The sequence below is a fragment of the Homo sapiens genome, chromosome 14, assembly GCF_000001405.40.
Source record: "Homo sapiens chromosome 14, GRCh38.p14 Primary Assembly".
Lineage (NCBI taxonomy): Eukaryota > Metazoa > Chordata > Mammalia > Primates > Hominidae > Homo > Homo sapiens.
In genome coordinates, this window is record NC_000014.9 from 41,582,950 (window position 1) to 41,602,346 (window position 19,397).

Below are 19,397 nucleotides of genomic sequence, written 5' to 3' on the forward strand. Positions count from 1 at the left end.
GTTGAACTAGTTTACAGTCCCACCAACAGTGTAAAAGTGTTCCTATTTCTCCACATCCTCTCCAGCACCTGTTGTTTCCTGACTTTTTAATGATCACCATTCTAACTGGTGTGAGATGGTATCTCATTGTGGTTTTGATTTGCATTTCTCTGATGGCCAGTGATGATGTGCGTTTTTTCATATGTCTGTTGACTGCATAAATGTCTTCTTTTGAGAAGTGTCTGTTCATATCCTTTGCCCACTTTTTGATGGGGTTGTTTGATTTTTTCTTGTAAATTTGTTTGAGTTAATTGTAGATTCTGGATATTAGCCCTTTGTCAGATGAATAGATTGCAAAAATGTTCTCCCATTCTGTAGGTTGCCTGTTCACTCTGATGGTAGTTTCTTTTGCTGTGCAGAAGCTCTTTACTTTAATTAGATCCCATTTGTCAGTTTTGGCTTTTGTTGCCATTGCTTTTGGTGTTTTAGACATGAAGTCCTTGCCCATGCCTATGTCCTGAATGGTATTGCCTAGGTTTCTTCTAGGGTTTTTATGGTTTTAGGTCTAATGTTTAAGTCTTTAATCCATCTTGAATTAATTTTTGTATAAGGTGTAAGGAAGGGATCCAGTCTCAGCTTTCTACATATGGCTAGCCAGTTTTCCCAGCACTGAAGAAAAACAATAATAACAACAACAACAAAAAGTGAAAACCATATACCTATATATAGCTTTTATTAATATTAAATTTTGTTTAAGTATACTTTAACGGTACACACTTATTGTATGTCAGATACTCTTCTACGTGTTCAAAAATATAACCTTACTCATCTTTATACCCACTGTGCGGTGGCTATTGTAATCTGCATACTACAGATGAAGTAACTCAGAGAAATTAAACTACTTTCCCAAAGTCATACCACTGAGATGTGGCAGACACTGGAAGTAAAATATCGGTTCTAATTTCCAAGCTTATGATCCTAACCACTATTCTGTCTTGTGTATCTTAGGCTTTTACAACTGTCATCATTTCTCTCTCTTTCACACACATGAGACACTGAGTTACCACTCAACAACTCTAATCACACAATCGATAATAGAATATAATAAAATTTCCATTACTTTCATTTATAGCGTTCAAGTCTTACAAAACCCACAAGTTCAGATATGCTTTGAAGTTTTTGCAGTTGTACGAAAGCTACATTAAATACATATTAGACCCATGCGTTACAGAATAGCGTAAGATTTGTAAGAAATAATTTTGTCGAATACTAATTAACTCTAGGTAGTTTTTAATGCCTGTAATGTATAAAAACAAAGTACAACCATAGTAACGCTAATAATTTTTAGTGGTGATTTTTATTCCAGCTCTTTTAAGTTAGAGATCAAATTATGTGCTGAGTGAAATTTTAAAAATCATCTAGTCTATGTTACTGATAAGGAAACTATAGCTCGGAGATATTATGTGACCTCTCCAAAGACACACAGCCAATTGGCAGCGGAGTTGGAATAATCTCAACATCCCTGAATGCCAGATCAGTTTCTCTTCACTATTTATATGCACAGTTATACAGCTTCTCTGCATGGTTTATATGAATTAACTTACTAATAATATTTTAAATAACAACTGTTAGTAAAAACAGGCACAATCCAAGTCTCTAAATATGTATAACATTTTATTAAAGGGTCAGATAATCCAGGGGCATTATTATAAGGCTGACTTTATATGCAGTTAATGGAAAGGTTGTATTACTCTATAGTGTCTCTTTCTTCCTCTACATATATATAGTTAGATGTATAAGATATATCATATATATGAGAGAGACATATATATAAAGAGAGAGAGAGAGAGAGAGACAGAGTTAAAGTGATGATCCTGCAAGTAAGTTTGCATTACTTATTTAGTTGTACTCCTAAAATCAGCACATACATTTATACATTTCATGGTGTATATTCAGATGTTTTATTACTAAAATTAATTTCAGTAGCTTTCTTAACATTAATCTGTAATAAAGTTTTAAAGTCGTGGTTAACAATGAGAAAACACATTTACTTTCAAATACAGTTTGATAAATGTAATTTTAGAAAACGCTGAGGTGATGAATGTGTTCATTGACTTGATTGTGGTAATTATTTCACAATGTATATATACGTCAAACCATCACATTGTACATTGTGAATATATGCAGTTTTATAAATTCTACCACAAGAAAACTGGTGAAAGGAACACATACATGCTCAGACACATTACACTGTTTTGCTTGGCCATAAATAGGGTGTATACAAATTTGCTTCCAACATCATATGTAATTACCTTTCCATGTTAGATTCCTAGTAGATACTCAGATATTTCAGATAAAATATCAAGAAAAATCACTGATGCTGCCTTGCAAACACCTATCATCAGATATTTGTTCCCTATGTATTCAAGGTTAGAACATTTTAAAATGTAAATAAATTATACATAAACGTAGACATGATGATTAGCCACTTACTGTAACTATAAGAGACAAAGAACTAACATTTCTATAACATTTCATACCAAGTTATTCCTATACACATTTTCTTCAAGAATTTTAAGTTATATAGGCAGATGTCATTTATTTTCCCCATATTTTTGAATAAATATAAAAGAATTGTCATTCATAAAGCATCATGATTACTGGTGATTAACTGGATAAATTAAAAATAACTTATGTGTGTCAATTTTTTAAACTATAGAACAGGGATACAAATGTTCACTTTTCCTACTTCCAAGTGTTTCTACAAATACCAAGATAAGGCAGGAGATAACTAATTGCATACTATAAAGAGTTTTTCTTCCTTATCTCCTTTCCCATATATACAGCATGAGGTAATTACTAAAGTTCTTTCTGTAATAAAAAATTGTATTGCATAAGTGTAAGATAATTATTGACTGCTTATGCGTAGGTTTTCAACCTGGTTTAGAATTTCTCTAGGTTATAATTTATGTGGTGTTAATATTTTTGTCTCTCTCAACATTCATCCTGTAGGATTAAAAAAAAATCTGCTTCTGTTTTTCCAACTTGGATTTACTCAAGTTTAAGTGTGACATACTTTATTCTTCTTCTTGCTTATCTTTAAGAGGAATCAAGAGACTTGTTGGATCTATCAGTGTTTTCAGGGAAGACATAACTAAATAACAACAGAACATATATTTTTATACACATACACACACACACACACACACACACACACACATATTTTTACACTGTTCAGATAAACAACTTCTCTTCTGTAAAGCCTAGGAAGTCTTAGCCCAAAAGCAGAATGTTAAACAATATATACTGATGTTAAAGAAATAATGGATACTTCACCTTATACATATTCCTAGTAAACCAAGATTTTATAGTTGTAGTAATTGAAGCACTTTTAAAATCACAATTTCATTAGATTATAACCCAGCTAAAATATCATTTACAAAGGTTTGGGTCATCATTTTTACTACAAATGATTTTAATCAAAAGAAAATGCTTAGAGGAATGGAACTGACCAGTATTTTTTATAATGCAACAGCTCCCCCATCTTACAGACAAAAGAATATAAACTAGAATTCTTTTTTGATATATAATATTAACAAGGCCTATATCATATAAAGTTAATTAAATTGTATTTTCTTAAGTTCTGTTGGACTTGATATATTTTCTTTTCTCCTGTAAAAAGACAAATCTTATCATGGATATATATTCCAGAAGTATCTGTTATATCTACATAATCTTCTGAGAAGGTAAGAATTCATACAGAACACTGAAAATGATAGCACAGTCGCTAAGATATTTAAAATTCATGTTGTAAGGATGAATAAATGCAGTATCCTGGATATTCTAAGTTTTTTTTAGCATGTTCTGAGAAAATACTTTTTCCACTTATCTCTTTGTGTGCTTTAAACTGATGTGTTTCTATTTGCAGTCTTTTTAAACATTTTCTTATATTTTGGTCATTTAATAAAGTATTTAGAGATTTCTCTTCAAAATTAGTTTGACTCGATATTTGAGCAAATATTTATTCTCCATTTTTAGTCTTGCAAAAAGCTAAAGAAAATGCTTAAGCAATTTACCTCAGATCTCCTTTATAATGATTACATAAATAATCCAATTAAAAATCCTAAAAGTTATTTACTTAAGACAACTCAGGTGAAAGGATTATTTTTTGACATTCTAGAAATTGTATCTGCATATTTATAAACTAATATTTCTGAGATGACTTTTCCATAATATACAAATTAAAATTCTCACTCTTAAAAGTTCCATTGGGCTCTATATACTACAGAGTTTTTCTGTATTTCATTAGTATAAAACAAACACAAATGATATGAGAGCCAGGAAAAAAATGCCTACCACATATAATAGTATAATGAATAAATTAAGAGAGAATTACAGATTTTTTTAAATTTTACTATGTAGGTATTTAGCCTACTGAAAGTAAAGCAAATTTTTTTGAAAATTCATATTTTAACATTAAGTCCACATTAACATGATTCCATTTCGGAAAAACCCCCACCTTACCCCGACACCATCTCCACCAAGATTTCTTGAGAGCATTTGGCAGAGAATATATTGGTCAAAGTTCTTGAATATTTAATAGATACATATGAGGACACTTTTAGAATGCCGTAGCCAGTGGTATACTGGGACCAGCGTGTTGGCTAGCTGAAACCAGTTATGCACATTTCTTCCCAAATCTGTATTCACTGATGTGATTTTCACCAAATCCATGCCAACATCTATTGTTTTCTGACTTTTTAATTGTGGACATTCTTGCGGGAGTAAGGTGGAATCTCACTGTGGTTTTAATTTGCATTTCCCTGGTGACTAGCGATGCTGTATTTTTTTTTATGTTTATTGGCTGTTTGTATATCTTCTTTTGACAATTGTCTATTCATGTCCTTTGCACACTTTTTAATGGGATATTTGAATTCATTTATTTGTTTGAGTTCCTTGTAAATTCTGGATACTAGTCCTTTGTCAGATGCATAGTTGGTGAATATTTTCTTCCATTCTGTGGGTTTTCTGTTTATTCTTCTGATTATTTATTTGGTGTGCAAAATCTTTTCAGTTTAATTGAGTCCCATTTATTTATTTTTGTTTTTGTTGCATTTTCTTTTGGTGTCTTAGTCATGAATTCTTTGCGTAAGCCAACATTTAGAAGAGTTTTTCTGGTGTTATCTTCTAGAATTTTCAAGGTTTCAGGTTTTATATTTAAGTCTTTGATGCATCTTGAGTCGATTTTTGTATTAGGTGAGAGCTGGGGATCCAGTTTCATTCTTCTACATGTGGCTTACCACTTTTTCCAGCACAATTTACTGAATACAGTATCCTTTCCCCAATATATGTTTCTTTGCTGCAAAAGAAAAGATACTTAGACATATACTTAACCAAGGGTGTGAAAGATCTCTACAAGAAAAATTACCAAAAAAAAAACAAACAAAAAAAAACTGCTGAAAGATATCACAGATAATACAAACAAATGGAAACACATCCCAAGATCATGGATGGAAAGAACTGATATTGTGAAAATGACCATACTGTCCAAAGCAATCTACAGATTCAATGCAATTCTGAACAGAATACCATCATCTTTCTTCACAGAACCAAAAAATAAAAAACCAAAAACCTCCTAAAATTCATATGGAACAAAAAATGAGCATGAATAGCCAAAGCAATACTAAGCAAAAAGAACAAATTTAGAGGCATCACATTACCAATTGTGCTACAAGGCCATAGTAACCAAAACAGCATGGTACTGGTATAAAAATAGGAAAGTAAACCAATGGAACATAATAGAGAACCCAGAAATAAAGCCAAATACTTACAACCAACTGATCTTCGACAAAGCATACAAAAATATAAGATGTGCTTTACAATTCAAAAAAATGAAAATTGTTTAATATTTAAATGAAAGTAATATAAATTTGGAATATCTGTTTTTCATCAGTTGGTCCTTTTACTATTTATTGTAGGTAAGTTCTAGCCTTAAAAATAGTGGTTCTCAAAATATAAGAAGCACAGAATCACCTGGAAGGCTTGTTAAAACAGATTCCTGAGTTTCTAGTCCAGTAGATCTTGGGTAGACCTGAGAATCTGCACTTCTAAAAATATGGCATTCTAAGGACCACACTTTGTGAACTGCTGCTCTAAAAGTGCAAGTGTTCTAAGTATTGATTTTATCAATGGTAACCACACCGACACTGACAAATCACCCAAATCTTTGACACATGAATGCTAGTTAGTAAACCTCAGTACTTTTAAGAAGTATAATTGAAATCTTATTGAGGTTATTATCCTCAACTAGTTGACCCGCATAATGGAAAACACGAAGAGCTCAGATTGTATTAAAAATAATTTGGATATCTTCTGATATTCAGCAAGTCAAACAACTATTCTGAAGTTGCTATTTCCTATATTATAAAATAATACTCACATAATGTTAATATTTATCCATAAAGTATTTGTCCTTGGAATCAAAGTGTTTGTACTGTTAGAAGAAAGACCTATACCTATCCAAAGTCTACTAAAAATTCTGATAATTGGTGAGGGGAAACCACAGTGTGCTTGAACTGTTTTGTTTTATTTTGTTAGTTTCTAAATTGAATTTTTATTGTGTTTTATCATTTATTTAGTTTTCAAAAATAGTTGTCAACCACTCATTTGCTTACAGATTTTTCTTACGTGGCTTGTTATAATAATACATCTATCACAGGACCTTTGTTTCTCAAAATTAAGACATTTAAAAATTTCACCACATTCCATCATCCTAAATTTAATTTAAAATATCAGTAAGAAAAGTCATACAAAAATAAATGGAAATATTTATGAAAGAGCTTGGACAAGACAATATGTAGCAGCTTCTGTTATTCTTTTAGAAAGAAGTGTTCCTTCTTCTGCTTAGAGTTAATCTCTACTAGATAGGATACCCTACAAACTCCTTAGGTATCTTGCTTCAGCAATTTATTTACTTTTGTCTTACTTCCTTTGTGTTACCATAAGAAAATACCATAAACTGAGTGGCTCATAAACGACGTACTACTATTGATTTCTCACAGTTCTTGAGGCTGGGAAGCCCAAGATCAAGGTCCTAGCAGACGCATTGTTTGGTGAAGGTTGTTTTTTTCATAGATAGAGACCTGATTGTGTTCTCATATGACAGAAAGGACAAAGAAATTTTTTTCGTATTTGAGGCCTCTTTTATAAGGACACAAGTCCCATTCATGAGGACTCTGCCCTCATAACCTAATCACCTCCCAAAGGCCTTAGCTTTTAATATCATGGACTATGAATTGGATGTGATTTGTCTGCACCAAAACTAATGCTGAAATTTAATTGCCAAAGAAACAATATTGGAAGATGGGACCTAGTGGGAGCTGTTTGGGTCAGGGCAGTGAATCCCTCATGAATAGATTAATACTATCACATGGGAGTCATATTTTATTCTTGAGAAACTAGATTAGTTACTTTGAGAGGAGGTTGTTATAAATCAAGGTTCCTCTTCATGTTTGGTCTGTTTATACACATCCACTAACCTTTCCACTTTTGCACCTTGTCTTGATGCTGCACATTGCCCTTACAGAAGCAAATATAACAATTTTTTTGTTATAAACAAAATATAAGCAAAAATAACAGAAGCAGCTATATATAATTATATATTTATATATATATATAATTATATATTTTTATATATATATATATATATATATAATTATAAACTTTAAAATCCAATATTTCCCCCTCAATTCATAGTCATACCCTTTTATTTGCTGCTGAAACTACTTTGATTTTCCTTTAGGAAGTCTTTTTTTTTTTTCATTCATCCTTAGCCATACCTCCATCTTCCATATTGCTGCAGGATTATTCCTTCTAAAATAGAAACCTATATTTATTATTCTGCATGAAACCATTTACTAGCTCCCTGCTGATTATCAGATGAGGTAAAACTCCTTGGTAAAGTATGCAAATCACTCTACGTCTAGAACCAGGCCTCAAAATGATAAGAACCATAAATAAATAAAAACCCACAGCCAATATCATATGACAATAAATGGGCAAAAGCTTGAAGCATTCTTCTTGAAAACTGGAACAAGACAAGAATGCCCTCTCTCACCATCCCTATTCAACATAGTATTGAGGAAATACCACATTTTCTTTATCCAGCCTATCAGCTAAATAATAAGAACATATGGACACACAGAGGGGAACAACACACACTAGGGCCTTTTGGAGGGTAGAAAGTGGGAGGAGGATCAGTATCAGAGGATCAGGAAAAATAACTAAGGAGTACCAAGCTTAATACTTGGGTGATGAAATAATCTGTACAACAAACCCCCATGACAAGTTTACCTATGTAACAAACCTGCACATGTCCCCTGAACTTAAAATAAATGTTAAAAAGTAAAACAAAACAAAACAAAACAAAAAAACCAACATAGTTTTGGAATTCCTGACCAGGGCAATCAGGCAAAAGAAAGAAATAAAGGGCATCCAAATAGGAAATCAAACTATCTCTTTTTGCAGACGCCATGATCCTATATCTACAAAACCCCATAGCCTCAGCCCAATAGCTTCTTAAGCTGATAAACAATCTCGACAAAGTCTCAAGATACAAAATCAATAAGCAAAAATCACTAGCATTCCTATACACCAACAGTAAAGCTGAGAGCCAAATCAGGAGCGTACTCCCATTCACAATTGCTACAAAAAGAATAAAACACCTAGGAATATAGCTAACTAGGGAAGGTGAAAGACCTCTACAAGGAGAACTACAAAACACTGCTCAGAGCAATCAGAGATGACACAAACAAATGGAAAAACACTTCATGCTATTGAGTAGGAAGAATCAATATTGTTAAAAGAAATGTATAGATTCAGTGCTGTTCCTATTAAACTACCATTGGGATTTTTCAAAGAACTAGAAAATATTATTTTAAAATTCATATGGAATCAAAAAAGAGCCTGAATAGCCAAGGCAGTTCTAAGCAAAAATAACAAGCTGGAGACATCATGCTACTCAACTTCAAGCTGTAGTCCAAGGCTACAGTAAACAAAATACCATGGTACTGGTACAGAAGGACACATAGACCAATGGAACAGAATGGAGACCCCAAAAATAAGGCTGCATGCTACAACTATCTGATCTTCAACAAACCTGACAAAAACAAGCAATGAGGAAAGGATTCCCTATTAGATAAACAGTGCTGGGATAACTGGCTAGCCATATGCAGAAGATTGAAACTGAACTCCTTCCTTATACTGTATGCAAAAATTAACTCAAGAGGGATTACTTAACCGTAAAACCCAAAACTATAAAAACCCTGGAAGACAAGCTAAGCAATACTATTCAGGACATAGGCATGTGCAAAGACTTTATGATGAAGATGCCAACAGCAATTGCAATAGAAGTAAAAATTGACAAATGGGATCTTATTAAATTACAGAGCTTCTGCACAGTACAAAGAAACTATCAACAGAGTAAACAGACAACCTACAGAATGGGAGAAAATTTTTGCAAACTATGCATCTGACAAAGGTCTAATATTCAGCATCTTTAAGGAACTTAAACAAATTTACAAGAAAAAAATAAGGAATCTCATCAGAACATGAGCAAAGGACATGAACAGACACTTTTCAAGAGAAGATATACATGTGGCCCACAATCATATGATTAAAAAGCCCAATATTATTCATCATTGGAGAAATACAAATCAAAACCACAATGATACCATCTCACATCAGTCAGAATGGTTATTATTAAAGAGTCCAAAAAGAAAAAAGAAAAAGATGCTGTTGATGTTGTGGAAGAAAAGGAATGCTTACACACTACTGGTGGGAGTGTAAATTAGTACATTGTGGAAGACAGTGCAGCAATTCCTCAAAGACCTAAAGACAGAAATATCATTTGATCCAGCAATCCCATTATTGGGTATATACCCAAAGGAATATAAATCATTCTGTTATGAAGACACATGCATGTGTATGTTTATTGCAGCACTATTCACAATAACAAAGGCATGGAATCAACCTAAATGTCCACCAACAGTAGATTGGATGAAGAAAATGTGGTACATATATAGTATGGAATGGTACATAGCCATAAAAAAATGAGATCATGTCTTTTGCTGGGACATGGATGGAGCTGGAGGCCATTATCCTTAGTAAACTAATGCAAGAACAGAAAACCAAATACTGCATGTTCTCATTTATAAGTGGGAGCTAAATGATGAGAACACATGGACACATAAAGGGGAACTACACACACCTGGGCCCATCAGAGAGAGGAGGGTAGGAGGAGGGAGAAGTTCAGGAAAAATAACTAAAGGGTAGTAGGCTTAATGCCTGGGTGATGAAATAGTCTGTAAAACAAACCCCCATGACATAAGTTTACCTATGTAACACACCTGCACATGCATCCCAGAACTTAAAATCAAAGTTAAAAAAGAAAAAACAAACAAACAAAAACACAACAGAGCCTAACCTCACATTATCCTGTGTGCCTACTGCCTTGTACCTTTCTATTTGGTTCATGTCATTCTTGCTGCCTAAAATACCCTTTTCTACCTCACTGTGTGGGTCATCCCTACTTATATTTTCAGACCCAACTGAAGTGTCCACTTTTGCAAACCTTCCCTGATCTGCCACATAGTTTATTACTTCCTTTTTTTGTAATACACAAACACACTCACACACTCACACTGACACACACATACCCATTTATTCTACTCTATCTCATTTACTTATGTCTTTCTTTTTTTCATTCCAGAATATGAGGTCATTGTTGATGGAAAAGAACACTTCATTATTTATCTAGCATTGATTTGCTTATTATGATCTGCCTATACTCAGAAAATTATAGGTTTAATGCAAGGTACAGCTAGGTTTCAGGAGCCTAATGAATATCCACTGGCCTATGTTTTAATCCATAATCCAATTCACTTCCTCTTCAAGACAGAATACAATTGAAAAATTATTATAATTCTTACTGCACCTGATTTAATTGTGAAGAAACTCATAAATTCTGTCCTGTTTAGATTAATGATTCTCTTCACAGCACTTCAAATTGTGACACATATTACTATGTTTACTTAGAACTGTAATTTATCTTTTCCTACTCAAATTCCATAAGTATTTTTAAAACAAACTTCTTTTCTCTAAATGTGGGTGAATCTCTGTTCATCACAACAAGGAATCTCATTAATATGCTTTGGAGAGCTAAGAGAAGGAGTCAGGATAGTCTAGTTGTGATTCATTCGTTTCTCTACTTCTCTCCAAGCTTACAGTCTTTGGGCATCAGTTTTGTTTTGTTTTGTTTTTGTTTTACTAAGCTTAAAAATAGCAGTTGAAATACCTGATCTAAAAATTCCTTTTTAACTTTAAATTTTTATTCTTGGGAAATTCAAGCATTTCCAAATATGAATAAATGGACTAATTTGTAATTATTACTGACCTGCATGCATTCATATTAATGTTTAAAGGCATATATTACTTTTTGTATAAGCATAAATAAAAAAATGCAATTAATCATGTATTTATTTATCTGACAGACCTGCAGCAGTTACTGGATGCTGTTAAAGTTTCCACTACAGATGCAAGAAAAGTGTCCCACACTTTCTGTCTGTCTGATTGTGACAGCTAAGATTAAATCAGGTAGGACAGTAATTCCAGAAACATGGCTGGGAGGGAGATAATGTTCATGACACAGAAATAATCTTGTAAACAGCAAATATTTTGTTTTATTCCAATAAAGTAATCTAAAATTTGAATTAAAAATATATTTATAAAGTACTTTTCATCTTCTTAGGCTGTAAATACCAACAAAACATTTTGATTATAGTAACATAAATATAAATCACAGGGGCTATATGTTAAATTAATAGTAAATGTGAATTATGTCATTATAATTTTGACTAAATCAGAGATATAGTACAATTAAATGTCAGATTTGATAAAGTACTTATTCAGTTGGAGTTAAGCTTAATAGATTGTGTATCAAGATTGTTTCATCATTAGTTCATGCTTATGAAGCCTGAAAAAGAACCACTACCAGAATCAGAACAGGGAATAATCAGTTGCCTTTTTATCATGATTGCTAAATTTAAAAGACTTCTGATTGTCTTGGATTGCAGTTTCTTAAAGTCAGGTATTTTGTTTCACTTATTTTACAGTTATTAGCTTAGGACAAATAAAACAAAAACATATTTTAAAATATGATCTACCCCTATTGAACAATATGTTCCATGTAAATTTTATGTATATAAACATATGGCTCTAGTTAATATTAAAATCAAAGAGGAGAGATTTAGGCAGGTGTTTGATTATCACAAAACCAATGGTTAAAAAAAAAAGCCTGGCACACTATCTTATGCATTGCAACACTTAAGAGATGAAATAATAAATAATAAATTTGAAAAGACAAAACATAAATTTAAGGATTCTTTGTACTGACTACATTTAAAAAAACTTACCACCTTATACAAATGTGATCTACATAGAATGTGAGACTCTGAATTTGCAGACTGGGTTATAGCTGAAACTACAGACACACTTCAGTACCTTGCGGATGATATTCACTCATTTTCTTTTCCAAAGTTCAACAACTTTGTTCAAATCTGTTTTTTTTTTTAATGGGTTGCACTCATCAATGTTGCCTTTCAATCTGAGCTTTCACTTCTTAGTGTATACCATGGCGTAGATGCATTGCACTAAGGCAAAATAAATAAATAAATAAAAATAAAAGACTGGGCGCGGTGACTCACGCCTGTAATCCCAGCACTTTGGGAGACCAAGGAGGGCAGATCACGAGGTCAGGAGATTGAGACCATCCTGGCTAACACGGTGAAACCCCGTCTCTACTAAGAACACAAAAAGTTAACCAGGCGTGGTGGCCGGTGCCTGTAGTCCCAGCTACTTGGGAGGCTGAGGCAGGAAAATGGCGTGAACCCAGGAGGCGGAGCTTGCAGTGAGCTGAGATCGCACCACTGCACTCCAGCCTGGGCAACAGAGCAAGGCTCCGTCTCAAAAAAAAAAAAAAAAAAAAAAAGCAAATCAGCCCCAGTGGGAGAGAGTTTACAATCAAGAAAGTGTCCAAGACTTTATACATTTCAAAAAACAGAAAAATATTTTCAGGGAAAGCAATATTAGCTTTCAAAGAGTAGTTGCCACTTGAACTAAACATTTGCTCTATAATTATAAAATCACCTTGCATATTTTTACAAGAAGAATGTTTTCACATTTACATAAACTAGTGTAGCCATGGCCACTCTACACATATTGTTTTTCTTCTTTACATTTAAAGTTTCACTGTAAGTTTCAACTTACACTGTAGTGTTCTGTGCAACATTTTCCAGAAGCTTCTTTCCTAACTATTCAAAGAGGTACTCTTCTAATTCTGCAATTCTAAGAAGAGTCATTCTGATGAAGGGCAGGCAAGCCCTGAAGTGGGGCTAAGCCAGCCAGGGTTCTTGGCTTTGCCCAGGAAAGAATTCAAGGGCAAGCCAGAGGGAGAAGAAAACAGCTTTATTGAGGAGGCAGTGTTACAGCTCCAGCGGTGCCACTGTTCCGTGACTGTTCCTGCAAGGCTATCCCATACTTAGAGACTAGAAGCTCAGGGCAGTGTAGCAATCACATTTATACACACTTTTAATAACATGTCGAGTAAGAATCCTCTTACCAAGGATAAATCAGAAGTTTTTAAATAACAAAAGCAAGAAAGAGAACCTAGTTGCATATTATAAAGACAACACAATAAGCAGAAATGAGTTGAGGTCGAGGAATCCATCTCATAGCTCACTGGCAATTTTCTAAATTTTTACTAAATTCAGTAGTACTACTGAATCCAATCAAAGTTTCCAAGATGAGGTCAGTAGAAAAAGAAACTGCCTTATTCTAGTTCACTGCCTCACATAAGGGTCTATTTCAAAATTAGTAAATTTTTTATTTTTTACATTATGAGCATTTTCACATTTTAGAAAAAGTTGATTTAAAACTGCATCTCACCATTTACCAAATTGAAAAATAAAACCTTAGTGTATTATAAAGATCCATCATATGTGCCTGGGGGTATGTGCATGTTTTTCACATTACTACTTGTCTTTTTAATAAATCATTCATTTACCCTCATCTTATTAAAAGTATAAAATAAACTTCTCTGTGGAATGTAAGACAATGTTTTTGAAAATAGAGTGTTTAGTTTTGAAAAAAGCTTTTCTACATAACATACAGAGAATTGTTTATGTATTACTGAATAACTATTAACTTAGAGTTTACCTTTATTCTTTGCTTTCTCCGTTTTGTTCCGTTCTAGATACGTTGAACTTTTTAATGTGAAAGAAAACTGGAGAGTGAAAATATATCTTAGTGAATGAAGTCTATATCAGGAGGTACCTAATCCTAAAGCATACTGTTATGAAAATGAATGCATGAATAAATGTAATGCTAATATTTTTACACTTTTGGCTACATTATTTAGTATTAAAAAATAGTATTGAAAATATTCAACCAGAAAATGTAGCAAATCCTCAAATTTGTAAAATTATAAAAGGTAACGGTAATCAATGTTGGACGCACAAGTTTGAAAACAATATAGAAACTACTACAATGCCATATAATTTTTCACAATGATTTCTCATGCAATTTTTTATTTCCTAAATTCTGTTGATAATAAAACTATTATAAAATATATAATAAGTTCCCATAATCGGTGTCATGTTAATTTTTCAACAATATATTTTTTGGTTTTAAAATGTTCTAATGTTACTGATTGGACTCCGGTAAAGACTCCAAGATGGCGACCGGCAACCATCTTGGCTACCCTGACTCAGCATTCCCGGATTCGCCGGTTCCCGCCATCCCAGCGGCCATCTTGGCTACCCTGACTTGGCATTTTCGCCTGTTCCCGCCATTTATTCCCGCCATCCCGACAGCCACCTCGGATACCCTGACTCAGCATTTCCGGGTTCACCTGTCTTCTTCCCGCAGCCCCAGTGAACGCGCATGCCCACTAAAGCACGTCACTAAGGCAAGTCACTCACCCATATAAGCGCGCTGCACTTTTGGCACAGCGCGACTTCCCTGGCCCACTCCCTGCGGGCCAGTGAACCTCGCCCGAGAGCTCAATAAAGGAGATTTTTGTCCTCTTTGTCTCGCCTCTCGGCCCTACCTGTTCGCGGTACCCCTCCATTGCATTTCAGTTACAATATTACAAAACGTTAAAACATGCCAAACTAAACACAAAATAAAACAATAATTTATGTTTTTGCATATCCAAGCAGAAATTAAATATAGTTATAGCTTAAATTAATAATTTATTAAATTAATAGTTTAATGTTGACAATAGACAAATTTAAAGTGGAAAAATACTGCAAAACCATATAATGCAGTTTAAAAACTATTAAACTAATCACATTTTCTACGAATATAAATGTTCATGATTATTTTAACAAATGGATGGTAAATAATTTAAAATCTATATTTAATGTTTCTATATTTATTTTCATATTACCCTACTTTTATTTTCAACATATTTCTTAATATTTGTAACAATTAGTGTTAACATTTTTCCCTCTAATGAGTTTTAAATACCTCAATAATGTGTAAGTACCTCAGTAAGATTCTATGTGTGTGTATGTAAATAGGAGGTGGTTCCAGAGGTCTCAAAAAAGAACAAACTTGGGCTTGATGTATACAGATATATATATATTTAGAGAGAGAGAGAGAAACTAGTCTGAAAGCCAAAGACCAGTTGTATAAAATCCATGGAAACTTCTTTGATTACTTTATTATAAAACTAGCCCTTTTAAAGGGGAGCTAATTTAAGGTACAAAACTTCTAAAAAGCATTTTGAGAACAAATCGCGTCTGAGGAGAATAAGTTGGATATGAAAATTTTGCTTAAATTTCATGTTTGAATTAATATATAATTTGGTATATGTATTATATATAATAGATAATATATATTATATATATATTTAATATGAGGGAAAATAAAAACATCAGTAGAATATTTTAGGCATCTTCTCAAGGATTTTATCTCAGGAAGCTTTTATGAGCAGATTTTCTTGATTAAAAAGTAGTTTATTTTGAGAAACTGGGTTATCTGTACTATACTTTAATGTGAAATTAATCATTCATTACATGATTTGAGATAGACTGACAGGGAATAGAAATGTTATCTATGGAGTACCTACCTCTACTGGGTAGTTTATATACAGGCAGTCATTAAAGCCTGTCAACCCTAAATATAAATATTCTAATTTCTATTTGATATGCATTATAACCTGAGGATTCAGGTGAGTTAAATGATTTACACAAGTAACACAGTGAATCTCAGAACCATGATTCAAACCCAGGTTTGTTTTATTCCAAAACTTTGTTTAGTAATACCCTGGGCTGTATCTGGTACTGCAGTAAAAGACTTCATACAGATGTTTCACAAACTACCTCCCAAGGCAGTTAGAATGAATGTGGGAAAAATAAACCAAAAACTAAGTGCAACAGAGAAGCTATTATTGGAGTTAATAGGAGGTGGTTCCAGAGGTCTCACAAAAGAACACACTTGGGCTTTATAACAAATTGTAGTTGGTGAAATAAAAACAAGATCATAATTTAACAACTAATTTGTTGGTCTATTAACCTCTACTAGATGGTAAGCTCTATTGTGGGGGACAGAGGCCATGAAAATTATGGTTAGTCTTCTTTCTCTAGTGCCTGGTGCAGGGCACTGGCTATGACAAGGCTTTCATGCACGTCCCTGTGAAGAGACCACCAAACAGGCTTTGTGTGAGCAATAAAAGCTTTTAATCACCTGGGTGCAGGCGGGCTGAGTCCGAAAAGAGAGTCAGCGAAGGGAGATAGGGGTGGGGCCGTTTTATAAGATTTGGGTAGGTAAAGGAAAATTACAGTCAAAGGGGTTTGTTCTCTGGCAGGCAGGAGTGGGGGGGTCGCAAGGTGCTCAGTGGGGGTGCTTTTTGAGCCAGGATGAGCCAGGAAAAGGACTTTCACAAGGTAATGTCATCACTTAAGGCAAGGACCGGCCATTTTCACGTCTTTTGTGGTGGAATATCATCAGTTAAGGCAAGGACAGGCCATTTACACTTCTTTTGTGGTGGAATGTCATCAGTTAAGGTGGGGCAGGGCATATTCACTTTTTTGTGATTCTTCAGTTACTTTAGGCCATCTGGGCGTATCCGTGCAAGTCACAGGGGATGCGATGGCTTGGCTTGGGCTCAGAGGCCTGACAAAGGCATTCAAAGAATTTACATGGAATGAACAAAACTGCAAGCAGAGAAATAAAGGACACTGTGTGGAGAAAGAAGTTTGATGCTAACCAGTCACAGAAAGGATTCCCTTTCATTACAGAAGTCACAGCCACTAAGAGCTGAGATACAAATCCAAAAGAACTTTAACACCAAGCTAGCCAAAAGATTGCATTCAGTTACAGGACCAGGAATATACTATGGAAGCAAAAGATGAGTTAAAAAAGAACAGTAACTCAGTCTTCTCTCTAAACGGCTGTGATTTAAAGGGGAAAAGAAAAAGAACCAGTGAAGAGATTAAAAGGCAAATTACCTAATCATGTTTTAGAAATTTTTTAAAAAATGACTGTTCCAAAAGAAATTATCTGATTTCATGTAAATAAAACTTATCACACATCATTTATTTTAATAAAAAGGATCTTTAATAAAATAAATTAAAATTAATTCTTCCTTCTAAATCTATGGGGGCTTGTAAGAAAGTCCAACCATGTGGTTACAACCACATGAGAGTGTCTCATTACTGCCGACTTGTGGCCACCTGCCTGAAATTCAAGGACAGAGTTTCAAGATGAATAATTAAGAAGCTGAATCTGCCTCAAACTTGAAGACAGATTCAGTTTTCTAATTTGGCGCTGGAAGCCATTATCCATAGCAAAGCAATACAGGAACAGGAAACCAAATACCACATGTTCTCACTTATAAGTGGGAGTTAAATGATAAGAACACATGGACACAGAGGGAAACAACATACACTGGAGCCTTTGGGAGGGTGGAAGGTGGGAGGAGGGAGAGGATCAGGAAAAATAACTAATGGATACTGGGCTTAATGCTTGGGTTGTGAAATAATCTGTACAATGAACCCCCATGACACAAGTTTACCTGTGTAACAAACCTGCACATATACTCGTGAACGTAAAATAAAAGTTAAAAGCTGGGCGCGGTGGCGCACACCTGTAATCCCAGCACTTTGGGAGACCAAGGCGGGTGGATCACCTGAGTTCAGGAATTCGAGATCAGCCTGGCCAACATGGTGAAACCCAGTCTCTACTAAAAATATAAAAAGTTAGCTGGGCGTGGTCGTAGACGCCTGTAATCCCAGCTACTCGGGAGGCTGAGGCAGGAGAATCGCTTGACTCTGGGAGGTGGAGGTTGCAGTGAGCCGAGATCGTGCCACTGCACTCCAGCCTGGGTGACGGAGTGAAAGCTCCATCTCAAAAAATAATTAATAAATAAATAATAAAAGAAAAAATAGAAGTTAAAAAAATAAAACCTGTAAAACTAAAGCTAAGAAGCCAAATCTTTGTTATGTAATTGTACAGCAGATGCACTTGATAGCAATAACTCAAGCATACCCTGAGAAGGTCCCTATGGTGTAAGAAGAAGGTTTGTTTGGAGTTCTGACCTAAGAAATTCAGGAGTGGCCAACCTGGAGATTCACTCCTTAAGGATGGAGGACTTCTGAACCCCTCACCCATACCTTGGAACTCAGGCCATAAAGGGGACTGAGGACGTTTGTTTTGGGTAAAACGGAGGTTGCTAGCTAGAGATTCCTAAATGAAAATGCTACATATCCTGTATGCTTTTTATAAACAGTAGCAGTTTTCCTGTCCAGCCCACCACTCCTGGCCTGAACTATATATAATTCCTCAATAAATGCTGTGTCTGATTCATTGGCTCAGGGTCTCTCCTTCTGCCTCTCAGACACGATGTCAGATATCATCCCTATTGGAGTTAATAGGGGTCCGGCACGACAATAGTTCTTAATCAGGCTTTTAACATAAGTATGTTGAAGAAATGAATTCCATAGACATTCAAACAGCTTATTACTTCTACCTAATATGATTTGGTGCGCCTACCTGAACTCCTAAATCAAGTCATAACAACAATTACTCTGATGTTTTATTTTTAAGATAATTGCTTTACGACTAGATTCATTTTAGAGAACAGTTTCACTATCTAGTGGAAATCTTTTTGAAATGCCATCTATACACACACATAAATTAAAAAAATATTTCTTTCAAAGGCTAAAGCTAGGTGTGAATAATTGTTCAATAGCATTATCAAAGATACAAAAAAGGAAAATATAAAATATAGTACCATGCTTATTCAATTTGGTATTCAAGGCTAAGAATGATTGAGGTGCCCCTGCTTCCCATATGTA

General features: G+C 34.2%; 1 long non-coding RNA gene and 1 other non-coding gene across 2 annotated transcripts, besides 2 other annotated features; one reads left to right on the forward strand and one right to left on the reverse strand.

Annotated features, from left to right (window-relative positions):
• Window positions 1-695: 695 nt before the first annotated feature.
• On the reverse strand, window positions 696-10,389 carry LRFN5-DT (LRFN5 divergent transcript). The gene is made up of 2 exons (XR_001750740.3): window positions 7,741-10,389; window positions 696-5,338 (listed from the first exon to the last, which is right to left on the reverse strand). It is a non-coding gene; the product is annotated as an LRFN5 divergent transcript (long non-coding RNA).
• Window positions 10,390-11,512: 1,123 nt separating this feature from the next.
• Window positions 11,513-11,642, forward strand: LOC124900349 (small nucleolar RNA SNORA31). The gene has a single exon (XR_007064402.1). It is a non-coding gene; the product is annotated as a small nucleolar RNA SNORA31 (small nucleolar RNA).
• Window positions 16,033-16,782: an enhancer, noted in NCBI's record as "NANOG-H3K27ac hESC enhancer chr14:42068185-42068934 (GRCh37/hg19 assembly coordinates)". NCBI's record gives its function as "activates a minimal SCP1, AML or CMV promoter by ChIP-STARR-seq in naive H9 embryonic stem cells {active_cell/tissue: H9 hESC(naive)}" and the evidence as "EXISTENCE:reporter gene assay evidence [ECO:0000049][PMID:30033119]".
• Window positions 16,783-17,532: an enhancer, noted in NCBI's record as "OCT4-NANOG-H3K27ac hESC enhancer chr14:42068935-42069684 (GRCh37/hg19 assembly coordinates)". NCBI's record gives its function as "activates a minimal SCP1, AML or CMV promoter by ChIP-STARR-seq in naive and primed H9 embryonic stem cells {active_cell/tissue: H9 hESC(naive and primed)}" and the evidence as "EXISTENCE:reporter gene assay evidence [ECO:0000049][PMID:30033119]".